The 21,483-nt window shown below is 53.6% G+C and overlaps 1 protein-coding gene across 4 annotated transcripts in view, besides 3 other annotated features; it reads left to right on the top strand.

The window, feature by feature from the left end:
• Positions 1-21,483, top strand: part of DNAH17 (dynein axonemal heavy chain 17) — a 153,700-nt gene that overhangs the window by 125,939 nt on the left and 6,278 nt on the right. For 2 of the 4 annotated variants that reach the window (XM_024451013.2, XM_011525416.3), the window contains 9 exons: positions 612-776; positions 1,064-1,204; positions 1,874-2,044; positions 5,778-5,900; positions 6,661-6,854; positions 10,259-10,407; positions 12,241-12,368; positions 13,578-13,817; positions 17,238-17,429. In XM_024451013.2, the coding sequence (XP_024306781.1) occupies positions 612-776; positions 1,064-1,204; positions 1,874-2,044; positions 5,778-5,900; positions 6,661-6,854; positions 10,259-10,407; positions 12,241-12,368; positions 13,578-13,817; positions 17,238-17,429 (1,503 nt within the window). Of the gene's footprint in view, positions 1-611; positions 777-1,063; positions 1,205-1,873; positions 2,045-5,777; positions 5,901-6,660; positions 6,855-10,258; positions 10,408-12,240; positions 12,369-13,577; positions 13,818-17,237; positions 17,430-21,483 lie in introns of those variants that run through there. The other 2 variants (NM_173628.4, XM_047436981.1) reach the window with 2 other exon arrangements.
• Positions 422-1,000: an enhancer, noted in NCBI's record as "H3K4me1 hESC enhancer chr17:76446540-76447118 (GRCh37/hg19 assembly coordinates)". NCBI's record gives its function as "activates a minimal SCP1, AML or CMV promoter by ChIP-STARR-seq in primed H9 embryonic stem cells {active_cell/tissue: H9 hESC(primed)}" and the evidence as "EXISTENCE:reporter gene assay evidence [ECO:0000049][PMID:30033119]".
• Positions 1,130-1,351: a silencer, noted in NCBI's record as "fragment chr17:76446189-76446410 (GRCh37/hg19 assembly coordinates)". NCBI's record gives its function as "represses an EF-1alpha promoter that drives an FKBP-Casp9 reporter gene in an ReSE screen in phorbol 12-myristate 13-acetate-treated (for megakaryocytic differentiation) K562 erythroleukemia cells {active_cell/tissue: K562(+PMA)}" and the evidence as "EXISTENCE:reporter gene assay evidence [ECO:0000049][PMID:32094911]".
• Positions 13,700-14,328: an enhancer, noted in NCBI's record as "H3K4me1 hESC enhancer chr17:76433212-76433840 (GRCh37/hg19 assembly coordinates)". NCBI's record gives its function as "activates a minimal SCP1, AML or CMV promoter by ChIP-STARR-seq in naive H9 embryonic stem cells {active_cell/tissue: H9 hESC(naive)}" and the evidence as "EXISTENCE:reporter gene assay evidence [ECO:0000049][PMID:30033119]".

Below are 21,483 nucleotides of genomic sequence, written 5' to 3'. Positions count from 1 at the left end.
AAGTTTGGTCACACGGGAGGAGGTGCCGTCCCACACAGAGGGGGCCAGGTCACTGTGAGGGTCCCCGACCAGGGCTGCCAGTCCAGTGTGTGTCGTTGCTTCTCTCTGAAGGTGCCTCAGTGTGTCCCACGGCATCACAGCTTCTCATACGACAGGATGGCTCATTTCCTTCCCCAGCTGTCCCCTCTTCCTGCTCCCAAATTTAATTCTAAGTCACATGACCTCTTTGCTTAAAGAACATGAGTCACAGCGGTCCTCGGGGGCTCTAAGCTCCAAAGCGCTGCCCTGCAAGAATGGCCTGGCTGCCAGCCCTTGCACCTGCCACATTTCTGGCTGTTATAGCCACTTGCATGGGCTCAGGAGGCCCAGGCCCGCCTGTCCCCGTTCTGCCCCCTACAGTCTCCGTGACAGGAAGCCTCAAGGCTGGGAGCAGGGCCAGGGCCTCTCTGAGGTTCCAGGGGCTCTGCTTCTGCAGCCCCTTCCAGGACCTGAGCTCGTTCCTCCCGCTCAAAGCCTGGGCCTTGGCTCAGCTACATGGCCACCTGAGGGAGGCCCGGGTGCCCGGTGGACAGAGCCAGGCAATGCAGTGACTCCTGCACCTCCCCTTGCAGGCAAACCTCACCAAGTCTCAAAACGAATTTAAGATTGTTCTGAAAGAGCTGGAAGATTCGCTCCTGGCCCGTCTGTCGGCTGCGTCGGGGAACTTTCTGGGAGACACGGCCTTGGTGGAGAATCTGGAGACCACCAAGCACACAGCCAGCGAGATCGAGGAGAAGGTCAGAGCTGCCTCGGTGACGTGCCCTGGCAGCCAGGGCTTGGGAGGCTGGGCCACGGGCGATCGGCGCCTCCCTACCATGAGAAAGGAGAAAAGCAGCTTCGGTCATACGTGCCCGAGTGGGCCCAGGGCAGGAGAAGGGGTCTGGGCTCCCATCCTGCACCCAGCTGCTGCTGAGAGCCCTTGGGTGGCTTCCCAGGGAGCGAGGCTGGTGGCTGGGAATGAGCCCACCTGCTCATGGCACTGCCCATCTGCTGTGTCATTCACACCCCTTTTGTTTGTGTCGAGGTGGTGGAGGCAAAAATCACAGAAGTTAAAATCAACGAAGCGAGAGAGAACTACCGCCCGGCTGCGGAGAGGGCATCTCTGCTCTACTTCATACTGAACGATCTCAACAAAATCAACCCCGTCTACCAGTTCTCCCTCAAGGTGCGCCCTGCAGCTGGGGCTGGGTGCCTCCCTCAAGGTGGGGCTGCATCTGGGCTCCACAGCCAGGCCTGTTGCCCACACAGCCATCGGGCAGTGCCAGGGCCACCCTCAGAGGGCAGACCTGGTCCAGCCTGCAGATGGAGCTGGAAGAGGGGGAGCCAGGGGCCCCCATCAGTCCTACACCCATTCTCCCCAGGAGAGGGTATGAGCTGCTCCCTCCTCCCTGCTCTTCCCCTGGTGCCTCCAGGCACTCACAACCCAATCAAAACAAACTGGATGGCCTGGCATGGTGGCTCATGCCTGTCATCTCAGCACTATGGGGGGCCGAGGCGGGTGGATCACCTGAGGTCAGGAGTTCAAGACCAGCCTGACCAACATGGTGAAACCCTGTCTGTACTAAAAATAAAAAAAAATTAGCCAGGTGTGGTGGTGTGCGCCTTGGGAGGCTGAGGCAGGAGAATCGCTTGAACACTGCAACCTCCCTCACTGCAGAGGGTGCAGTGAGCCAAGATCACGCCACTGCACTCCAGCCTGGGCGACAGAGCAAGACTCTGTCTCAAAGAAACAAAACAAACTGGAGGCCACCACAGGTGGCAGGGAGTGGTGGCGGGGAGTGGTGAAGGGCTCCATCTCTGCACGCCTCCATGGCTCTCGGTGGCGGATCCCCAGGCCTTCAACGTGGTGTTTGAGAAAGCCATCCAGAGGACCACCCCTGCCAACGAGGTGAAGCAGCGGGTGATCAACCTGACGGACGAGATCACCTACTCCGTCTACATGTACACGGCCCGGGGACTCTTCGAGAGGGACAAACTCATTTTCCTGGCACAAGTTACGTTTCAGGTAATGTCTAGCCTCACTGTTCCTAGTGTGGTCCGTGGACCAGCGGTGTCACTGACCCCTGGGAGCTTTGTGGAAAGGCAGATTGTTGGGCCCCCACCCAAACCTGGTGATTTCAAACCCGCATTTTAGCAATATACCCAGGTGATTATAAAGTCTGAGATGCCTGACGTGGAACAGGCCTGGGGCTCTCCTAGTTGATATTTGGGAAGCTGGCACAGTATTCCAATGGGAGCTAGTGAAGGGGTGGTGTTTTAAGGAGAATTTCACAAGGAAATTCATTTTACATGTAAGTTGTGCTGAGTAAATAGTCCTGCATTAGTGCTTAGCCCACTGTGGGGTGACTGATGTTTCTTAAGAAATAAGTGTATGAATAAACAAATATTCCTCCTGTTTATACAGCCCTGCTAAAATATTTAAAGATCTGCATTCTCTGAAATTGATTAAACAGCCTGTCTTAATTTGTTTTGTGCGGCTATAACAGAATACCCAAGGCTGAGTAATCTATAAACAATAGAAATTTATTTCTCATGGTCCTGGGGTCTGGGAAGTTCCATATGAAAGTGCTGGCATCTGGCAAGGGCCTTCTTGCTGTGTCATCCCATGGTGGAAGGCTAGAGGGCGAGAGAGAGCACAAAACGGGCCAAACTCCTTGTGTAACAAACCCACTCCCTTGATCATGACATTAAGCCATTCACTCTGCTGTCACGGCCCAACTGCCTCTCAGACCCCACCTCCCAACACTGTTGCACTGAGGATTCAGTTTCCAACATATGCTTTTTGGGGAACACATTCAAACCATAGTACAGCCCCTCTGCAATTTCCTTTACACTGTGCCATAAGTATGGTTGGAAACACTAGTTTTTGTTGTTGTTGCTACTGCTGCTATTTTGAGACAATCTCACTCTGTCACCCAGGCTAGAGTGCAGTGGTGCAATCATAGTTCACTGTAGCCTTGAATTCCTGGACTCAAGCAATCCTCCCACTTCAGCCGCCTCAGTAGCTGGGACTACAGGCATGTGCCACCATGCTAGGCTAATTCTTCAGTTTTTTAATTTTTTATTTATTTATTTATTTTTTAGTAGAGACAAAGTCTCGCTCTGTTGCCCAGGCCGGTCTTGAACTCCTGGGCTCAAGTGATCCTTCTGCCTCAACCTCCCTGTAGCTGGGAATACAAGTGTACACTGCTGTGCCTAGCTAATTTTTTTTTTTTTCTGTTCTGGTTTTTTTGTTTGTTTGTTTTTTAGACGGAGTTTTCCTCTTGTTGCCCGGGCTGGGGTGCAATGGTGCAATCTCAGCCCACCACAACCTCCACCTCCCGGGTTCAAGCAGTTCCCCTACCTCAGTCTTCCGAGTAGCTGGGATTACAGGCATGCACCACCATGCCTGGCTAATTTTTGTATTTTTAGTTGAGACGGGGTTTCTCCATGTTGGTCAGGCTGGTCTCGAACTCCCGATCTTAGGTGATCCACTAGCCTCGGCCTCCCAAAGTGCTGGGATTACAGGCATGAGCCACCGCACCCGGCCCTAATTTTTTAAAATGTTTTTAAAGAAACAGGGTCTTGCTACATTGCCCAGGCTGGGCAACACTAATTGTATAAACAGGTTGGGCATCAGTGTAAGCCTGGCTTTCAATTCAAACTCAAACTTTGAACCAATGGGGTCCATATTATGAAGGTTCCTTTTACATGTGAATCTCTGAATCATAGGTTCACTATGAGATTTTCTCCTGGCTGAGAGGTCATCAGGATAAGAGTTCCTCAGTGCTCCCCCTAATTTTCCAGGGTAGAAAGCATTCTCTTTGGTCCCAAAGAACGTTTTGTTTGACCAAAAGAAAGAGTCCAGCTCAGGAAGAAACTCTCTATGGGATCTGAAAAACAGACCGTTTGGGCACTTGACTGAGGAGATGGCAGTGGCCATTGCCCCTGCTCCCAGCCACCTGCTGCCCATCTGAGACAGAGGGTGCCAGGTTAGCTGCCCAATACACCACTTCAAAATGACCCAGACCCTGCCCACAGGAGGTCCAGAGGGCCGGCATGCACAAGCGACAAGATGGCATGGAATATGACCCAGGCTTCCACTTCTGGGCACACACCCACAAGACCTGTAAACAGGTGTCCAGCATCTGTCCACATTCCTGTACATCAGCATTCACAACAGCATTAATCGCAGCAGCCAAAAGCCAGATGAGGCCGGGCACTGAGGCTCATGCCTAGTATCCCAACACTTTGGGAGGTCAAAGCAAGAGGATCACTTGAGGCGGTTTGAGACTAGCCCAGTCAATATAGCAAGACCCCATCTCCACAAAAAAATAGCTAGGTGAGGTGATGTACACCTGTAGTCCCAGTTACTTGGGAGGCTGAGATAGGCGGGTCACTTGAGCCCAAGAGTTCAAGGCTGCAGTGAGCCATGATCACAGCACTACACTCCAGCCGGGGCAACAGAGCAACACCCTGTCTCTCAAAGACAACAAGGCCGGGCACAGTGGCTCTCACCTGTAATCCTGGTACGTTGGGAGGCCAAGGTGGGCAGATCACTTGAGGCCAGTAGTTCAAGACCAGCCTGGCCAACACGGTGAAACCCTGTCTCTACAAAAAATGCAAAAATTAGCCGGGCATGGTGGCACACACCTGTAATTCCAGCTACTTGGGAGGCTGAGGCAGGAGGATTGCTTGAACCCAGGAGGTGGAAGTTGCAGTGAGCCGAGATTGCGCTACTGCGCTCCAGCCTGGGTGACAGAGTGAGACTCTGTCTCAAAAAAATAAATAATAATAAATAATAAAATAAATTTAAAAAATCAGCAAAGCTAATCAATTCACAACAGCCAAAACGACCCGCTGTCCATCAGCAGGTGAATGGAGAATGCCAGCGTGGTTATATTCAAGAATGGAGTATTACTCGGCCTTACAGAGGAAGGAGGTTCTGACACATCTACAATATGGATGAACCTCAGAAGCATCACGCTAAGTGAAAGATGCCAGATGCAAACGGGGCATGTCGTGTGCTTCCATTTATACAAAGCATCCACAACAGGGGCATCCCTAGGCAGAAGGCAGATGAGCAGCTCTCAGAGGCAAGGGGCGATGGGGAGTGGCTGCTTCAGGGGCGAGGGGGTAACAAAAAAGTCCTGGAACTAGAGAGTGCTGATGGTTGCACGATGCTGCGAATCATGTGAAATGCCACTGAATTGCACACTAAAATATGGTTACAATTGTCAATTTTTTTTTTTTTTTTTTTTTTTTTGAGACAGAGTCTCACTCTGTTGCCCAGGCTAGAGCGCAGTGGCGTAATCTCGGCTTACTGTAACCTCTGCCTCCCAGGTTCAAGTGATTCTCCTGCCTCAGCATCCCGAGTAGCTAGGACTACAGGCATGCACCACCACGCCCGGCTAATTTTTTTGTATTTTTAGTAGAAACAGGGTTTCACCATGTTGGCCAGGCTGGTCTCGAACTCCTGAGCTCAAGTGATCCACCCCCTCCTCGGCCTCCCAAAGTGCTGGGATTACAGGCGTGAGTCACTGTGCCCGGCCAAAATGGTCAATTTTATGGTATGTGTATTTCACAACTTAAAAAGCGAGACGAGGTGAAGACAAAACTTTACCCCAAACCAAAGGGGCAGGACAGGGCGCCCCCTGCAGGCCGGGAGTGTGAACTCCTCTTCGAGTCCAGCGCGCATCTTCAGGGCTGCTGACGTTTTACTGGCTGCGTTAAGTGTGTACACCTCGATGTTCCCCCAGGTCCTGTCCATGAAGAAGGAGCTGAACCCAGTGGAGCTGGATTTCCTCCTGCGGTTCCCTTTTAAGGCCGGAGTGGTCTCACCAGTGGACTTCCTCCAGCATCAAGGCTGGGGCGGGATCAAGGTTCGTCTTTAGACGTTGAACACGTTGTGCTTTCTCCCCGCCGTGGAGCCCCCTCCAGCTGATGCTGCGGATGTTTCCAAGGCCAGAATACCAGGCTCTGTGGCCCATAAATTCAGTAAAGCAAGGAGGCCCCGCACATAGGGATGGAGACCAAGATGGGCTGGCTGCCAGCTCACAGATAGCTCTGCGTTCCTATAGGGAATGTGACATGTGTTAGGTCCCTGAGACCTGCACACAGCAAGCAGAGAGTGATATCCTCTGGGGGCCAGAAGAGGCCTCAGGGCCTCTTACCATCCCTCCCTCAACCTCTCCTCCTCCCCCCAGCCTCCCCTCCTCCCCCCAGCCTCCCCTCCTCCCAGCGTAAGGGAAGTGGCAAGTGAAAAGTTTGTTCTTCAGATTCCTGGACACAGTCAGGGACCCTCGAGTCTCAAGGTCTGTTCAAAAAGACCTGAAGAAGGTCGTCCCCTGAGCTAGAATGGCCCCATTTGCAGAGACCCCTAGAGAAGCAGCCCCTAGCCCATCCCAGGCCTCATGTCCGCAGGTTAGACCCTGCCGAGGAGGCTCCCGGCGCTGTCCTGGGATGCCTGAGCTGGGCATGGACAGCTCCTGCTTTGGTGGCCAGCCTCTCGGGCTTCCTTATCCCAGAGCCCCGGTTTCCTCGGAGGGTAATGGCCTCTCCTCCTTGAATGAACTGTACAGGAAGGCTCTCGGGACCCGGGTAAGTGGGAAGAGTCACAGGGCCCGCTGCCTCTGCCCCTAGGCCCTCTCGGAGATGGATGAGTTCAAAAATCTGGACAGTGACATCGAAGGATCTGCCAAGCGCTGGAAAAAGCTGGTGGAGTCGGAAGCCCCCGAGAAGGAGATCTTCCCCAAGGAGTGGAAGAACAAGACGGCCCTGCAGAAGCTGTGCATGGTGCGCTGCCTGCGGCCAGATCGCATGACCTACGCTATCAAGTGAGTGTCCCGCCGCGCCGGGGGCCCCGCCCCCGAGGCCCAGGCCTGATGGAAGCTTGACCGAGCGGCTGTGCTAGACTCTCTGTGGACTTGAGTTGATCCCCTGAACTTTTTTCTTCTCCCCATTTTACACAGAAACGAAACAGGGCTTAGAGGGGTAAATCATTTCACACAAAGTTCTTCGAGGACAGAGGCAGGATTCCACCCCAGGCTGCGGACTCCAGTCCTGAGTTCTTGTTAATCCTTAATGTCTCAGAGTATCATTAGGGGAACCCCTTGTCCCCCGCTAACCTGACTGAGGAGGGGTGCCCTGCGATACATGATAGGAAGAAAAGACTCCCCACATGAGCCTCCTACATTGAAAGTAAGATGTCAAGTGTGGACGTGAATAAGCACTGAGGCCATACAAATGGGGTCCTTTTAAGATGTTTTGAGGGAGAAAACAATGGCAAACCCATCAGCATTCGAGGACTTTGAGTACCTCTGTGGCAAAACGTAAAGTCAATCGAGGTATATTAGTATGGCTAGTTTGCAAGAGAACTGTTCTGATTTCACCAACAATTTCTCCAGACCTGAAACCCTTCCCTGTTGGAAGGATGGGCTGTTGAAGGAAGGAGGTGACGTTTAGCACAGAAACGAGCCTGGGGTCTGTCCTCAGAGCACCTGTGGCCTGTCTGGCTTCTCCCCTTTTCATTTCTCCAAGTAGCCTGAAAGCAGCCAGGTTTCCCAAAGGACACTCATGTCCCTAATAGAATTACCCTCTGATGGCCAGGTGCAGTGGCTCACACCTGTAATCCCAGTACTTTGGGGAGGATCACTTGAGCCCAGGAGTTTGAGACCAGCCTGGGAAACATAGTGAGACCCCATCTCTACAAAAAGTCTAAAAATTAGCAGGGCGCGGTGGCGGGCTCCTATAGTCCCAGTTACTCAGAAGGCTGAGGTGGGAGAATTGGTTGAGCCCGGGAGGTGGAGGCTGCAGTGGGCCGAGATTGTGCCACTGCGCTCCAGCCTGGGTGACAGAGCGAGACCCTGCCTCAAAATAAAAATAAAAATAAAAAGAATTCCCTTCTGACAAAGCAGAGGCCTAACTCCCAGGACTGAGTTTAGTTTTGCCTTGTTTTCCTCCGATAGGAGAGGACAGGGACCGGGAGTGGTGGGGAGGAGGGGGTGGAATGAAGCCAGAAGTCACTGTGATGCAGGAGAGCAGCGAGGTCCAGGGAGAATGCCAGCTGTGTCCCAGGGTCAGAGCTGGAGGAAGCGGGGGTCAGGGTTTGGGAAAGGCCAAGGTAAAGGTCCCTCGGCCATCGCAGCGGGATCACCCTCTCCTGTGGGAGTGTGCAGCATGTTTGGGTCACAAGACCCAGTGTGCATCCGATTCCTCGTCTAGAGGATGAGGTGAGGTGACCTTCCCCATCTCCTGAGAGCTTCTGAGAATCGCCTAAGTTAGCCTGTGTGACTGCACTCTGGCCACCTAAAAGAAGGAAACAGCCACCCACTGCGGAAGCATTTGCGTGCTCTGCGGTGGCCTTGGACCATCCCAAACACCCATGAGCGCAGATCATCCCTCAGCATTGACGTGTTTCACATTTCTATGACGTGGAGCAAAGCAGATTTACTGCCCTGATTGTATAGGGAGGGGGTCGCTTAAAAGCAAGGAGATTGAAACAGACGTGACTAATAACAAAGCCAGCACTGGCCAAGGGTGTCTCGTGTCAGGCACTGTTGCAAGCACTGACAGCCGCGGGAGCACTTCCACACTCAGGTCACAGGCACTGGGAGGGCAGGCCAGGCCACCCCCACGTGCGCAACACAAACCCTGACGCACAGCATGTGCCAATTTCCATGGCGTAAGTGCTTCCTCTGTGGCCGGTTGCACTAGTTGCCGGGGTCTGCTGAAAGCTGTCACCAGCCGGCTCCAGCACTCCTTTGTCAAAGCCACCATGTCAGAGGTGGTGAGGTCTGACGAACCCAGCCTGCATGCTTCTGCATCATTAATTCATCCACAGCCGATGACCATTTGGCCTGGCCAAGTAATTAGCAAAGGTGATCTAGAGTCATTCCTGCCTAGGGGCAGGACTTCATATGTTCTGGAAGTTCCTTCCTAGACAAGGATCACAGCATCTAGGGTCTGAGGCCATTCCAGAGTTCCAAAAAGAATTGGGGGCCTTCAGGAGGAGCAACTCCTCCCCACCCTTGCCTGAGGCTGGCCCCAGTTCAGGACACCAGAGACAAGCCAGCAAAGGCCAGTGCAGGGAAAGGAATAGCAGATCCAGGTGTCCCCAGAAAGTCCCAAGGGCATGGACAGGCAATAGCCGGCTGATTGCTGGTTGAACCAGAGGAGGTGAGGTGTGCTGGGTGGCATGAGTGTGAGCAGAGCCTTCTGAAAGTCGACCCAGACTCTCAGAGCACTCGGGCGTTCACCTGCCCAGGGACGAGCAGTTCTCACCCTTCGGGATGCGGCCATTTGTCCTCCTTTCAGAGACCAGCTGGCCACTAAAATCTTACTAATTTTTTTTTTTCTGAGATGGAGTCTCGCTCTCTTGCCCAGGCTGGAGTGCAATGGCGCCATCTCACCTCACTGCAACCTCTGCCTCCTGGGTTCCAGAGATTCTCCTGCCTCAGCCTCCTAAGTGGCTGGAATTACAGGCCTGTGCCACCACACCTGGCTACTTTTTGTATTTTTAGTAGAGAGGGTTTTGTCATGTTGGTCAGGCTGGTCTCAAACTCCTAACCTCAAGTGATCTGCCCTCCTTGGCCTCCCAAAGTGCTGAGATTACAGGCATGAGCCACCACACTGGCAAGTTTACTAATCTTAGCTCAGGTGATTCATTCTTTATACATTACAGTAAGCTCAGCCCTCTGTGATCACAGAAGAAAGGCCAACACCTGATCCAAAGACCGCCAGAACATCACTCGGTCCTCCATGGGAGGATTAGCCGAGACCCCGACTGACCCCAGACTTATTGGGGTCATGTTAGAAAGAGTTGGGGGCTTTTGTAGAGAGAGGTGTTTATATCATCTGAAGTTGCTTTTTTCTTTGACTTTTTTAGGCTCACCAAAGCTTTGCTCTAATCTGAACTTCCTTCCTTCTCAGCGCCCCCACCCCCCGCAGTTGACCCTGGGTGCCTTCCAAGGCTGGCCTCTCCCTGCACCTGCTTAGGCTGCTCCAAGGAGGAGCACAGTGCGGGGCCCCTCGGGAAAGAAAGGGTGCCCGAGGCAAACAAGGCCAATCCCTCGCAGAAAGGAAAGCCCGGTAAAGACTCTGCTCTCCTGCCACAGGCCTTGTCCCGCTGAAGAAAGTCCACCAAAAAATGGCCCCCCTGCCTGGGCCACAGCCCACCCCGAGCGCCCCGCCCTGGCCCAGAGCCTCAGGTTCCGCTGCCTCTGATGCACTCCACCCCTAGGAACTTCGTGGAGGAAAAGATGGGCAGCAAGTTCGTGGAAGGCCGGAGTGTTGAGTTTTCTAAGTCCTACGAGGAGAGCAGCCCCTCCACGTCAATCTTCTTCATCCTCTCCCCGGGGGTTGACCCCTTGAAAGACGTGGAAGCCCTGGGTAAGTGTAGCAGGCAAGTGATGTTCTCAAAGACGGAGTATTGTCAGCATCACCAGGCACCAGGAAAATGCACACCAAAAGCACATGAGACACCACTTCACACCCAAGACGCGGCTTCACGCCGGTAGGATGGCAATGATCAAGAACAGGAAAATAACACGAGTTGTGAGGCCTGAGAACTGCGACCCTTGTAGGTTGCTGAGCGGATGTAAAATGGGGCCGCTGCTGTGGAAAACAGTCTGGTGGTTTCTCAGTAAGTTACATATAGAATTGGCACAAGAGCCAGCAATTCCACGCCTGAGTATACACCCAAAAGAACTGGAAATTTAAATCTGTGTTCAAGCAAGTACTCTACACAGACGTTCATTCATAATAGCCAAAAGGCAGAAACAACCCAAATGTCCATTAACTGACAAATGGATAAGTGGATAAACAGAATATGGTGGCTCTATATGGTGGAATAGTATCCCTCGATTAAAAAAGAGTGAAGCAGGCCGGGGGCGGTAGCTCACACCTGTATCCCAGCACTTTGGGAGGCCAGGGTGGGCGGATCGCTTGATCACAGGAGTTCAAGACCAGCCTTGGCAACATGGCAAAACCCCGTCTCTACAAAACATACAAGAAAACGTAGCCAGGTATGGTGGTGTACGCCTGTAGTCCCAGTTACCTGTGAGGCTGAGGTGGGAGGATCACTTGAGCCCAAAAGGTTGAAGCTGTAGTGAGCCGTGATCAAGCCACTTCACTCCAGCCTGGGCGACCGAGTAAGACCCTGTCTCAAAAAAAAAAAAAAAAAAAAAAAAAAAAAAGCATGAAGTCGGCCAGGTGCAGTGGCTCACAGCTGTAGTCCCAGAACTTTGGGAGTCTGAGACAGGAGGAGCACCTGAGCCCTGGAGTTCAAGATCAGCCTGGTCAACACAGGGAGAGCTTGTCTCTACAGATAATTTTATAAATTAGCTGGGCATAGTGGTGCATGCCTGTGGTCCCAGCTACTCTGGAGGCCAAGGCAGAAGGATCACTTGAGCTTGGGGAGTGGAGTTCAGGCTAGGTGACAGAGTTGAGACCCTGTCTCAAAAAAAAGTGAGGCCAGCCACAGTGGCTCACACCCATAATCCCAGCACTTTGGGAGGCCAAGGCAGGTGGATCGCCTGAGGTCAGGAGTTTGAGACCAGCCTAGCCAACATGATGAAACCCCATCTCTACTAAAAATACAAACATTAGCCAGGTGTGGTGGCGGGCGCCTGTAGTCCCAGCTACTCAGGAGGCTGAGGCAGGAGAATCACTTGAACCCGGGAGGTGGAGGTTGCAGTGAGCAGAGATGGCACCACTGCACTCCAGCCTGGGCGACAGAGTGAGACTCCATCTCAAAAAAAAAAAAAAAAAAAAAAGTGAAGTACTGATACATGCTACAACGTGGATGGACCTCAAAAACACTATGCTCAGTGACAGAAGCCAGACACAAAGGCCCCATATTGTGCAGTTCCCTTGATATGAAATATCCAGAATGGATAAATCCATGGAGACACAAAGGAGACTGTAGACGAGTGGCTCCTGGAGGAGATTGGGAGCGACTGCCTAATGGGTATGGGGACCACCTCTTGGGCCATGACAATGTTCTAGAACCAAACGGATGATTGCACAGCATTGTGAATATACTGAATGTCGGTGCACTGTACGCTTTAAGATGGGTTTTAAAACAGCAAGTTTTATGTCATGTGTATTTCACCACCGAAACTAAATGAGGGAGGCATGTGGAATTCCTGGCTGTAGATCACAGAGCCTGAACCTGTGTCATTTAATTACGTGGTGTTTTTTTCCTGTTTTTCTTTTCTTTAGGAAAAAAACTAGGGTTTACCATAGACAATGGAAAACTCCATAATGTGTCCCTGGGGCAGGGACAAGAGGTGGTGGCTGAGAACGCCCTGGACGTGGCTGCAGAGAAAGGACACTGGGTCATTCTGCAGGTACGAGGGGGCCAGCACTGCAGGGTAAGGGCTCCCCGCACTGAGGTGGCCAATGGGGATGGGCCAGAAGGCCCGGAAGGAAGCAGGATGTGGAGTTTGCATTCAGAAATGTGGGTGGAAATCCTAACACCACTGAAGGAGGAGGCATCCCCAGTGTCGGCTCTGCTGGGGTCAGCTGGGTGGTGTGGCACGCCATGACTGCCCAGAGGAAAGCGTGGATTCTTCAACGGTGAGAGGGAAGCTGGGCTTTATACGAGAGTACCCCAAACAGAGATTATTTAAACAACAGATGGTTGGGCACGGTGGCTCACACCTGTAGGCCCAGCACTTTGGGAGGCCAAGGCAGGCGGATCACCTGAGGTCAGGAGTTCGAGACCAGCCTGACCAACATGGCGAAACCCTGTCTCTACTAAAAATACAAAAATTAGCCAAGTGTGCTGGCACATGCCTGTAACCTCAACTACTTGGGAGGCTGAGGCAGGAAAATCGCTTGAACCCGGGGAGGCAGAGGTTGCAGTGAGCCAAGAGTGCACCACTGCACTCCAGCCCGGGCGACAGAGTGAGACTCCATCTCAAAAAAATAAAAAAAAAAGATGACAAGTGCTGGGTTGACAAAAGCATCTCCTCCTCCTCCTCCCTCCTCCCTCCTCCTCCTCCTCCTCCTTCTCCTCACTTGGGGCAGGCAGCAAAGCCCAGAGCGCCCAGGAGATGCTCTCTGCACATTTGGTTCAACGCTAGCACGACCACCCCTCCTCAGCCCTGGAGCCCATCCAAGACCCCTTCTCACTACCGCTTGTCCTCGAGCGCCTCTGGGCCTGTCCCAGCTTCCACGGGTCTTACAGTGTGTGTCGACCTCAATCCACAGGGCTAAGCCTGGCCCCGGTGGGAAGCCCTCAGCTTCAAGAGGAGGGGTGGGGACCACAGAATCTCAGCCTTATGCCAGGGAGGACACAAAGGACTCACCGTAAGGCTGGAGGTTTGCAATTCATTGAACACAAAAATAGATTCTGGGGCCTCAGTTGCTTCGCCGAAGACATCCTGGCATGCCCAGCACCTGGTTAGGGTGGACAGGTGAGGGGTGGGGCAGTGCCAGCACCAGGCAAGTGTGGGGTGCTGGCAGAAGAGCCCTGCCCTCACCAGGGAACATAGCCACGTGCCAGTCTCTCCTCGTGGGCCAGGAGCTGGGCAAAGTGTGTAACCAGCCTCTAGTCTTGGCTGCAGAATATCCACCTGGTGGCCCGGTGGCTGGGAACACTGGACAAGAAGCTGGAGCACTACAGCACGGGCAGCCATGAGGACTACCGGGTGTTCATCAGCGCGGAGCCTGCCCCCAGCCCCGAGACCCACATCATCCCCCAGGGCATTCTGGAGAACGCCATCAAGATCACCAACGAGCCCCCCACGGGCATGCACGCCAACTTGCACAAGGCCCTGGACCTGTTCACCCAGGTAGGGCCACGCCTGCTCGGGCTGCCTCCCCATCCCATGCCACGGCCTGGCATCCATCCCTTGGGGCCCCGAGGACCACTGAGGACCGCTCTGAACTCTGGGGACACCTCCCCTCTGGGCTTCCCCTGTCCACACACCCCTCGCAGTCAAAATCAATGTATTTCTAAAAGACGGAAAAATGCAAATAATTTAAGGTGCTCTGGCACTATTTATTACTTAAAGCTGTAGATGCAGAAACACATAGTTTTTAATCAGTTCTATGAACCTGCAAATGAGGGCTGGTAGATGCTGTCCATTGTGTTTAAAGAGCATGGAACACGTCATGACTGGTCCTTGGAAATGGGGCCAAGCTCCGTGGGGTACTCCCTGGAGGCTGGTCAGCTTTCCTGGGAGTACAGAGCCCCACTGCTGGAGGCTATGGGCAACCAGGGTAGATGGGGTTGCTGTACTCGCTGAGGCTCTGGATCTGTGACCAGGTTTCCTTGCCTTCAGCCCCCCTCTGACCCACCATCAGCAGGAACAGCTGGCAAAACACAGCTAGCTAGGGAGCCCGGTCCTCCTCTGCTAACAGCTGTAGTGGCTGCTGGTTGCCTCCAGGACGGAGGGTGAGGGCCTGCCTGGCACCTGGGGCTCGAGGACCCTCCTTGGCTGGGATCCCACTTCTGCATCTGCCTGGGGTCTGTCCTCACCTGACTCTTCCCTCACAGACCTCAAGGCTTCCCCCAGATGCAGCCTTCTCCACAGCCTTCCTGGCCACGTGTTTGTTTGTTTGTTTGTTTGTTTGTTTGTTTGTTTGGAGATGGAGTCTCACTCTGTCACCCAGGCTGGAGTGCAATGGTGTAATCTCGGCTCACTGCAACCTCTGCCTCCCGAGTTCAAGCAATTCTTGTGCCTCAGACTCCCGAGTAGCTGGGATTACAGGCATGCACCACCACACCCAGCTAATATTTTGGATTTTTGGTAGAGATGAGATTTCGCTATGTTGGCCAGGCTGGTCTCAAACTCCTGACCTCAGGTGATCCACCTGCCTCAGGCTCCCAAATCTTGGCCACTCTTGTCCTCGGGGGTGCTCCTGCCTCTGCAGGTCCTCATGTCGATATTTCTCCTTTTGGCACCTCAGCATTTTCTCTGTCTAGAACTTTTTGTGTGCACAAACTTGATCTCCCAAGTGGAGCCTAGAACTTTTTTGAGGTTTGACACCCTATTTTTTTGGAGATGGAGTTTCGCTCTTATTGCCCAGGCTGGAGTGCAAGGGCACAACCTCGGCTGACTGCCACCTCTGCCTCCTGGGTTCAAGTGATTCTGCTGCCTCAGGCTCCCAAGTAGCTGGGATTACAGACACCCACCACCACTCCTGGCTAGTTTTTTGTATTTTTAGTAGAGATGGGGTTTCACCATGTTGGCCACGCTGGCCTTAAACTCCTCACCTCAGGTGATCCACCCACCTCGGCCTCCCAAATAGCTGGGATTACAGGCGTGAGCCACCACGCCCGGCCAACACCCTGTATCATTCTATAACACTTAACAAAGATCTACTTATGGGGTGTATCGGTCCATGAATGTGTGGCTTCCATGCCTGATACATTTTTAAAAACTACTTATATGGAAATATCAGAGTCACCCATTAACAATTCCCAACCAGCTTTTAAAGGACACACCCTTGTCAAAGTGTGAAAGTAAAAGAAAAAGCAGAAAAACAAATGTTTAAAATAGGTCCCCCGTTCTATTAACCAATCAATCAATACCACACGCCTCCTGCCTTGGCCTGCACCCTGCTGAGGGGCGCGAGGATACGTTCTGGAAGCAGCACCCTAGTGTGATGAGTGCGTGGGGTACACACGGTGCTATGGGGCCATGCAGCTCACAGCAGCCCTGAGGTCAGCACCAGTCCTGGAACGGTTTCTGCCAGTCTGTATGAGATCAGCGCAGAAATCCAGGAGGCACTCAACAAACTCTGCAGCGACCCGACACTTGTGAATCCAAGCACAGGGGCAGTTCTTCCTTTGGTGTTTCGTTTTATTGTATTTTGCAAAGTGTCAGTCAGCGACAGACAGGGATCGGGGCACTGAGGCAGGGACTGGGCCTTCACTTCCAGCCAGCGTGGAGCCCTGCCAGCCAGCACACGGGAGTGGCACCTCATCCCATCTCTGGTTGGGGAGGTGGGTAGCCAGGGAGTGACAGCTGAGACCTGTGGGTAAGGAGACCCTTCACAAGTTCAGGGACCAGTTGCCTCGGAGGGGCTGTGGGCCTCTGAAAACAAGGGCCCACAGGAAGAAGCGGTGGTGGGTGGAACCTGTATGTCCACGATGCCCCAGACCTGAGTGCGGGTAGGCTGGTGAAAAGCACCGGATCGGATGGACTCTGGAGGATGGATGGACGGTGACACCCGCCAGGCCTTCCCTTGTCCTTGGGGGCTGGTGAGTCTCCCATTGGCTGGTGTCACTCTGGCTCTCCACGTGTTCACTGCCAGCGCCCTCCCCAGGGAGCTGAGGTCTGAAAGGGACTGGCCAGGCCAGTCTCCTGGGCCCATCGTCTCTGTCCCAGGCAGCCAGGAGGGGATACTCGAGTGATGGAACCCCAGCTGCTCCCCTTCTTGTCCATGTTGCCAGAGGGGCCTGTGCCAGGCTTTCCATGATGCCCAGGACAGGGCCCTGCTCTTGATCCACCCAGTACACTTCCCCTGGCACTTATCTGTCCCTCCCCAGCGGGATCCTCGGCCACTGTGCCTGAAGCCCTCCCCCCACACAGAGTGCCTGGCCCCAGAGGTGCTCCGTCAGCCGCTGAGTAGAGCAGGTGGAGCACAGCTTGGCTTCCAGAAGCCTCTGTGTGTTCAGGAGTCACTACGTAGCAAAGGTTAATGAGTAAAAGCTCACAAATCCAGAGACGTAGGAGTCACAATTTAGGCTCAGTTTTCCCTTCCCTGGAGCCAGATAAAAAGAAAGGGTTTGAGAAGCGACCCCATCCCATCCCCCATCCTCTATCCCATCCCCCATCCTCTATCCCATCCCCCATCCTGATGGAACTTTACCAGTTGTTTTTAGAGTTTGGGATACTGTGCATAAGTGATGAGGAATGTTGATAATTACAAAGGAACATTATTTCGTATTAAAGTAGTCCCGAAATGTCCAGGATTTGGGAAGATATTAGGAAGCAGTATCAATAATTCAACTTGTAGTTAAGTACTTAAAAGGGATAAAATTGCATTTCTGAAAGGAACAAGAAGATCGTACTCAGCCATGACAGCCCAGCTTTCCTTGCAGCGGGTCTGATAGAGACCTGCACAGCCCACAGCTTTGTACCCCCCACCGCCCCCACCCTAGCAAAGCATCTGGCAAGGGCTGGACGCTGGTCACCCTCAGGGGCATTTCTGTGTAAACTTCTCCCTCTCCCTAATACCTGACCGGAGCGTGTGCCCCACAGGACACCCTGGAGATGTGCACCAAGGAGATGGAGTTCAAGTGCATGCTCTTCGCCCTGTGCTACTTCCACGCTGTGGTGGCAGAGAGGCGCAAGTTCGGCGCCCAGGGCTGGAACCGGTCGTACCCCTTCAACAACGGGGACCTCACCATCTCCATCAACGTGCTCTACAACTACCTGGAGGCCAACCCCAAGGTGAGGGGCTGTGTGTGCCCTGTACTTGGACATATCCCTCCCTCTTTCCCTCCTTCCCTCCCTCCTTCCCTCCCTCCTTCCCTCCCTCCTTCCCTCCCTCCTTCCTTCCCTCCCTTTCCTTTTGGTCTTTGTCTTAGGCTTAAAAGACATCAAGTAGGTTTCACAAACCAAAGAGAACTTGAAAGGCAGCACCATCTGTGATCTCTCCAGCCTGCTGTAATTAAGATGGTCCAGTCCTTTGCCCCCACCTCCTGCAGGAGCCGGCTTTTGGACAGCTCTTCTGCTTGTTAGCACACTCCACGCCACCTGCCCCTCTTGCACCTGGATGAGGATTCCCCCAGAATCCTGCCACCACAGGGTGTGAGCTGGGACTCAGTGGGGAGGACAAGCAGGGCTTCCCGGGCTGCAGGCCTCACCACGGCTCTGTCAGTGTCTGGAGAGAACCCAGGTTTGGAGCAGGAGGGACAAAAAACCTCCCCGGATAGAAGGGAGTGCTGTGTCCATTATGAGAATGCATAAAGGCGCATGCAGACTGCCACAGAGGACTGAGTAGAAAGCCACACATCCTCCGTAAACGGTCTGCAGCAGGAGGCACAGGTCGGGGCACAGAGCAAGGTGCACAGCAGAGGGCACAGGTTTGGGACCAGATGGTAGCGTATGAATCCCAGACCTGCTATTCGCTGGAGGGGGCCCTCTGTAAGCAGCACGTACCCTGCTAGGCCCTGCAGCCCCATCTACGGTCTCCTAAGGCTTGGCCACCCCAACCATAAACTGGAGAGAGCGGTAGTGCTCACCACGCACGGTTCTTACGAAGCTTTGACTCAGGCTAAGCCTGGCACAGGCCCAGGAGCCCCTCGCCCAGAAGGCAGAGGGCGGTGCACACCCCTATAAACCCTGGGTCCTCCTCCTCACTCTCGGCCTCCAAATCAATAGCGACATGGACCCTGGCTCAGAGAGAGCAAGGTCCGGGCACCCTCTTACAGACTGGGAGGGGGATGGGAAGAAAGCTGCACTCAGCTGCCCAGGAGGGCTGCTGCCTACGTGGGGCCTCGGGGTTGGAGGACTCCCAGGGCCTGGATGTGACATGGTGAGAAACGGTGCTGGCACCGGGGTCGGGGGGGGGGGGCACGTTTGAAGCCTGCTCTGCTACTCATTCACTGAGACCTCCAGCAAGTCACTGGACCGCTAAGCCTGCTTCCTCATGGGCCTCCACCTCAGGGCCTGGGGGTTCAATGAGGGAAGCCTGGCCTGGCAATGCCAGTCTCAGGAACCCCCTCCTTTTTTCCATCTCCTTGTAATAAAGCTCAAGACCTGGGCCACTAAGCCCCAGGCATGCACGGCACACGTGCTCCCATTGGGTGTCCTGAGAAGGCCCCCAGGAGGTGACCTCTGATGTCAAGCACCTGGCCTGGGAGGCTGTGACAGAGCCTCCTCACCAAGACTGGAGGACAACGACCTCCCAGGATCGCTGCTGGCGAAGGCTGGGCCTGGAACTTGGTATGCTTAGTTCCCTGGGAGGCACACCAGCCCTGGAGTAGCAGGGAGCAGAACTGGGCCGGGACTTGGCTCCCTGTGCTCCCTGGCAATGGGCCACCATGGGCCATAGATGCCACTGGGGAAAGGCAGCCTCTGCTGTCTGCCGGTCGATGGGGCAGGGTGCCGGCCGGACATTTCACCCAGAACAAGACCCGGATCTGAAAACACTCCCAGAGGCACCCAAGATGTTCAAAGGGACTTTCAGCACGGAGAGACGGCCAAACCACGCAGAGACTAGTTTGGGAGAAACAGTCTGGCTAGAATTTTTTTTTTAATTTTTATTTATTTTATTTATTTATTTATTTATTTATTTTTGAGACAGGGCCTCACTGTTAACTGGGGCAGGAGTGCAGTGGCACAATCACAGCTCACTGCAGCCTTAACCTCCTGGGCTCAGGTGATCCTCCCACCCCAGCCTCTCAAGTAGCTGGGACTACAGCGGCCACAATGCCAGGTTTTTTTTGTTTTTGTTTTGTTTTGTTCTGTAAAGACGGGGTTTTACCATGTTGCCTAAGCTGGTCTCAAACTCCTGGGCTCAAGTCATCCGCCCACCTCGGCCTCCCAAAGTGCTAGGATTACAGGCGTGAGCCACCGCACCTGGCCAGGTTAGGATTTTTAAGACATTTCCTTAGCCGTTGCCCATTGACACACGCTGGGCAGCTTCTAAGCTGCTGAGAAGCCGCGCGAGTACCATGTACATCAGCGGCTGCCACATCCTGAGGAGCTGTGTCCTGATGTGGCCTGCGCTGGCCAACCTTCCCTCTGTCCTCAGGCCTCCCTCCCCCTCCACAGACTCCCCACCGGCTCCCATATTCCCTTCATGGCACAGGTCATGCTACACGCTGAGTGACCACCGGGAATGATGTCATCTGTGTCCACGGCCTGTTTAGCCGTCTGGGCTCTGAGGAAATAGATCAGGGATTCCCATGCGAACGGAACACAAAAGTCTGATGGAACGTTGCTTTGAAACACAGAGCAACCTGCAGGGACTCCCAGGGAGGGGCCTGAGAGCTACAGCTCCCCCAGGAGTCTCGGGGTGGGGGGTTCCCTCAGCAGGTACGGGAAATGCAGACAGCACTCACCCCCACCCCCTGCGGGAAGCAACCCTCCTGAGGAGCGTGTGGGGCCAGGAGGGGGAGAGGGGCACAGGTCTTCCTGCCTCTCGGGAGACACAGACGCTGCCTCCAAAGCTGCTAAGCAAGATGCAGGAAAAGCAGCCCGCAAACAGTTGTGATGACCAGACAGAGAAGGTTGTAAGTCGCTAATGATAATGTGGAAAACATTAACGTTTTGAGTAAAAAAGTCATGAGACTAAGCCGAGTGCAGTGGCCCAAGCCTGTAATCCCAGCACTGTGGGAGGCCGAGGCAGGAGGACTGCTTGAGCCCAGGAGTTCAAGACCAGCCTGGCCAACACAGCAAGACCCTGTCTCTACAAAAAATAAAAAAATTAGTCTGGCATGGTGGTGTGACTGTAGGCCCAGCTACTTGGGAGGCTGAAGTGGGAGGGTCGCTTGAACCCAGGAGATCAAGGCTGCAGTGAGCCATGTTTGTACCACTGCACTCCAGCCTGGGACATGGAACAAGATCCTGTCTAAAAAACATATACATATGGGCTGGGCACAGTGGCTCACACCAGTAATCCCAGCACTTTGGGAGGCTGAGGCAGGCAGATCCCCTGAGGTCAGGAGTTCGAGACCAGCCTGGCCAACACAGTGAAATCTCATCTCTACTAAAAATCCAAAATATTAGCTGGCTATGGTGGTGTGCACCTGTAATCCCAGCTACTCAGAAGGCTGAGGCAGGAGAATTGCTTGAACCCAGGAGGCAGAAGTTTCAGTGAGCAGAGACTGCACCATTGCACTCCAGCCTGGGCAACAGAGCGAGACTCCATCTCAAAAATAAGCAACCTAAAAAATATATACATATGTATATAAATTCATGAGACCAAATCAGATGATTGATTCATCAACTGATTCTTATTCAATGAACTCCCACTGGTATTTGATGACAGCTCTTCCGGCCAGCGCACAGTGGAAGTGATGTTATGAAAACATCTGCCTCGCCCTTCAGGAGCTGCAAACTTCAGGGAAAGAACAGGTGTGCGGAAGCAGGAAGAAGCTGACTGTGAGCGGCAGGATTTCACATGCTGGGTACCAAAAAAGAATCAATTATCTTATTTTTATCCCAATTACATGTTGGAATGATCTCTTTTAAAGTGGCTGCCACAAAATTTAAAATGACACATGTGGCCTCAATCCGTGGCTCCCACCGTCCTTCTGCTGAACTGCGCTGTGCAGGAGAAAGAGGCTCCAAAACGGGCACATGGAGGCGGGAAGAACAAGGGCCTGGCTTCATGGCGAGGCCGCCCATGAGCCAGGCTTTGTAGGAAGAAGAATGTTCCAGAGCAAAGGTGTGACGTGAGACTGCAAGGAAGCATGAAGGGAGTGGGAACGGCGGCGGGGTGGGAAGCGTGTGGTCGCCTGGCGTGTGCTCTGGTCCACACTGCCGAGTTTGGTCT

This window comes from Homo sapiens, chromosome 17 (genome assembly GCF_000001405.40).
Source record: "Homo sapiens chromosome 17, GRCh38.p14 Primary Assembly".
Taxonomy (NCBI): Eukaryota; Metazoa; Chordata; class Mammalia; order Primates; family Hominidae; genus Homo; species Homo sapiens.
The sequence above is the reverse complement of the archived record's forward strand: the minus strand, read 5'-3'. Positions and strand labels throughout refer to the sequence as shown.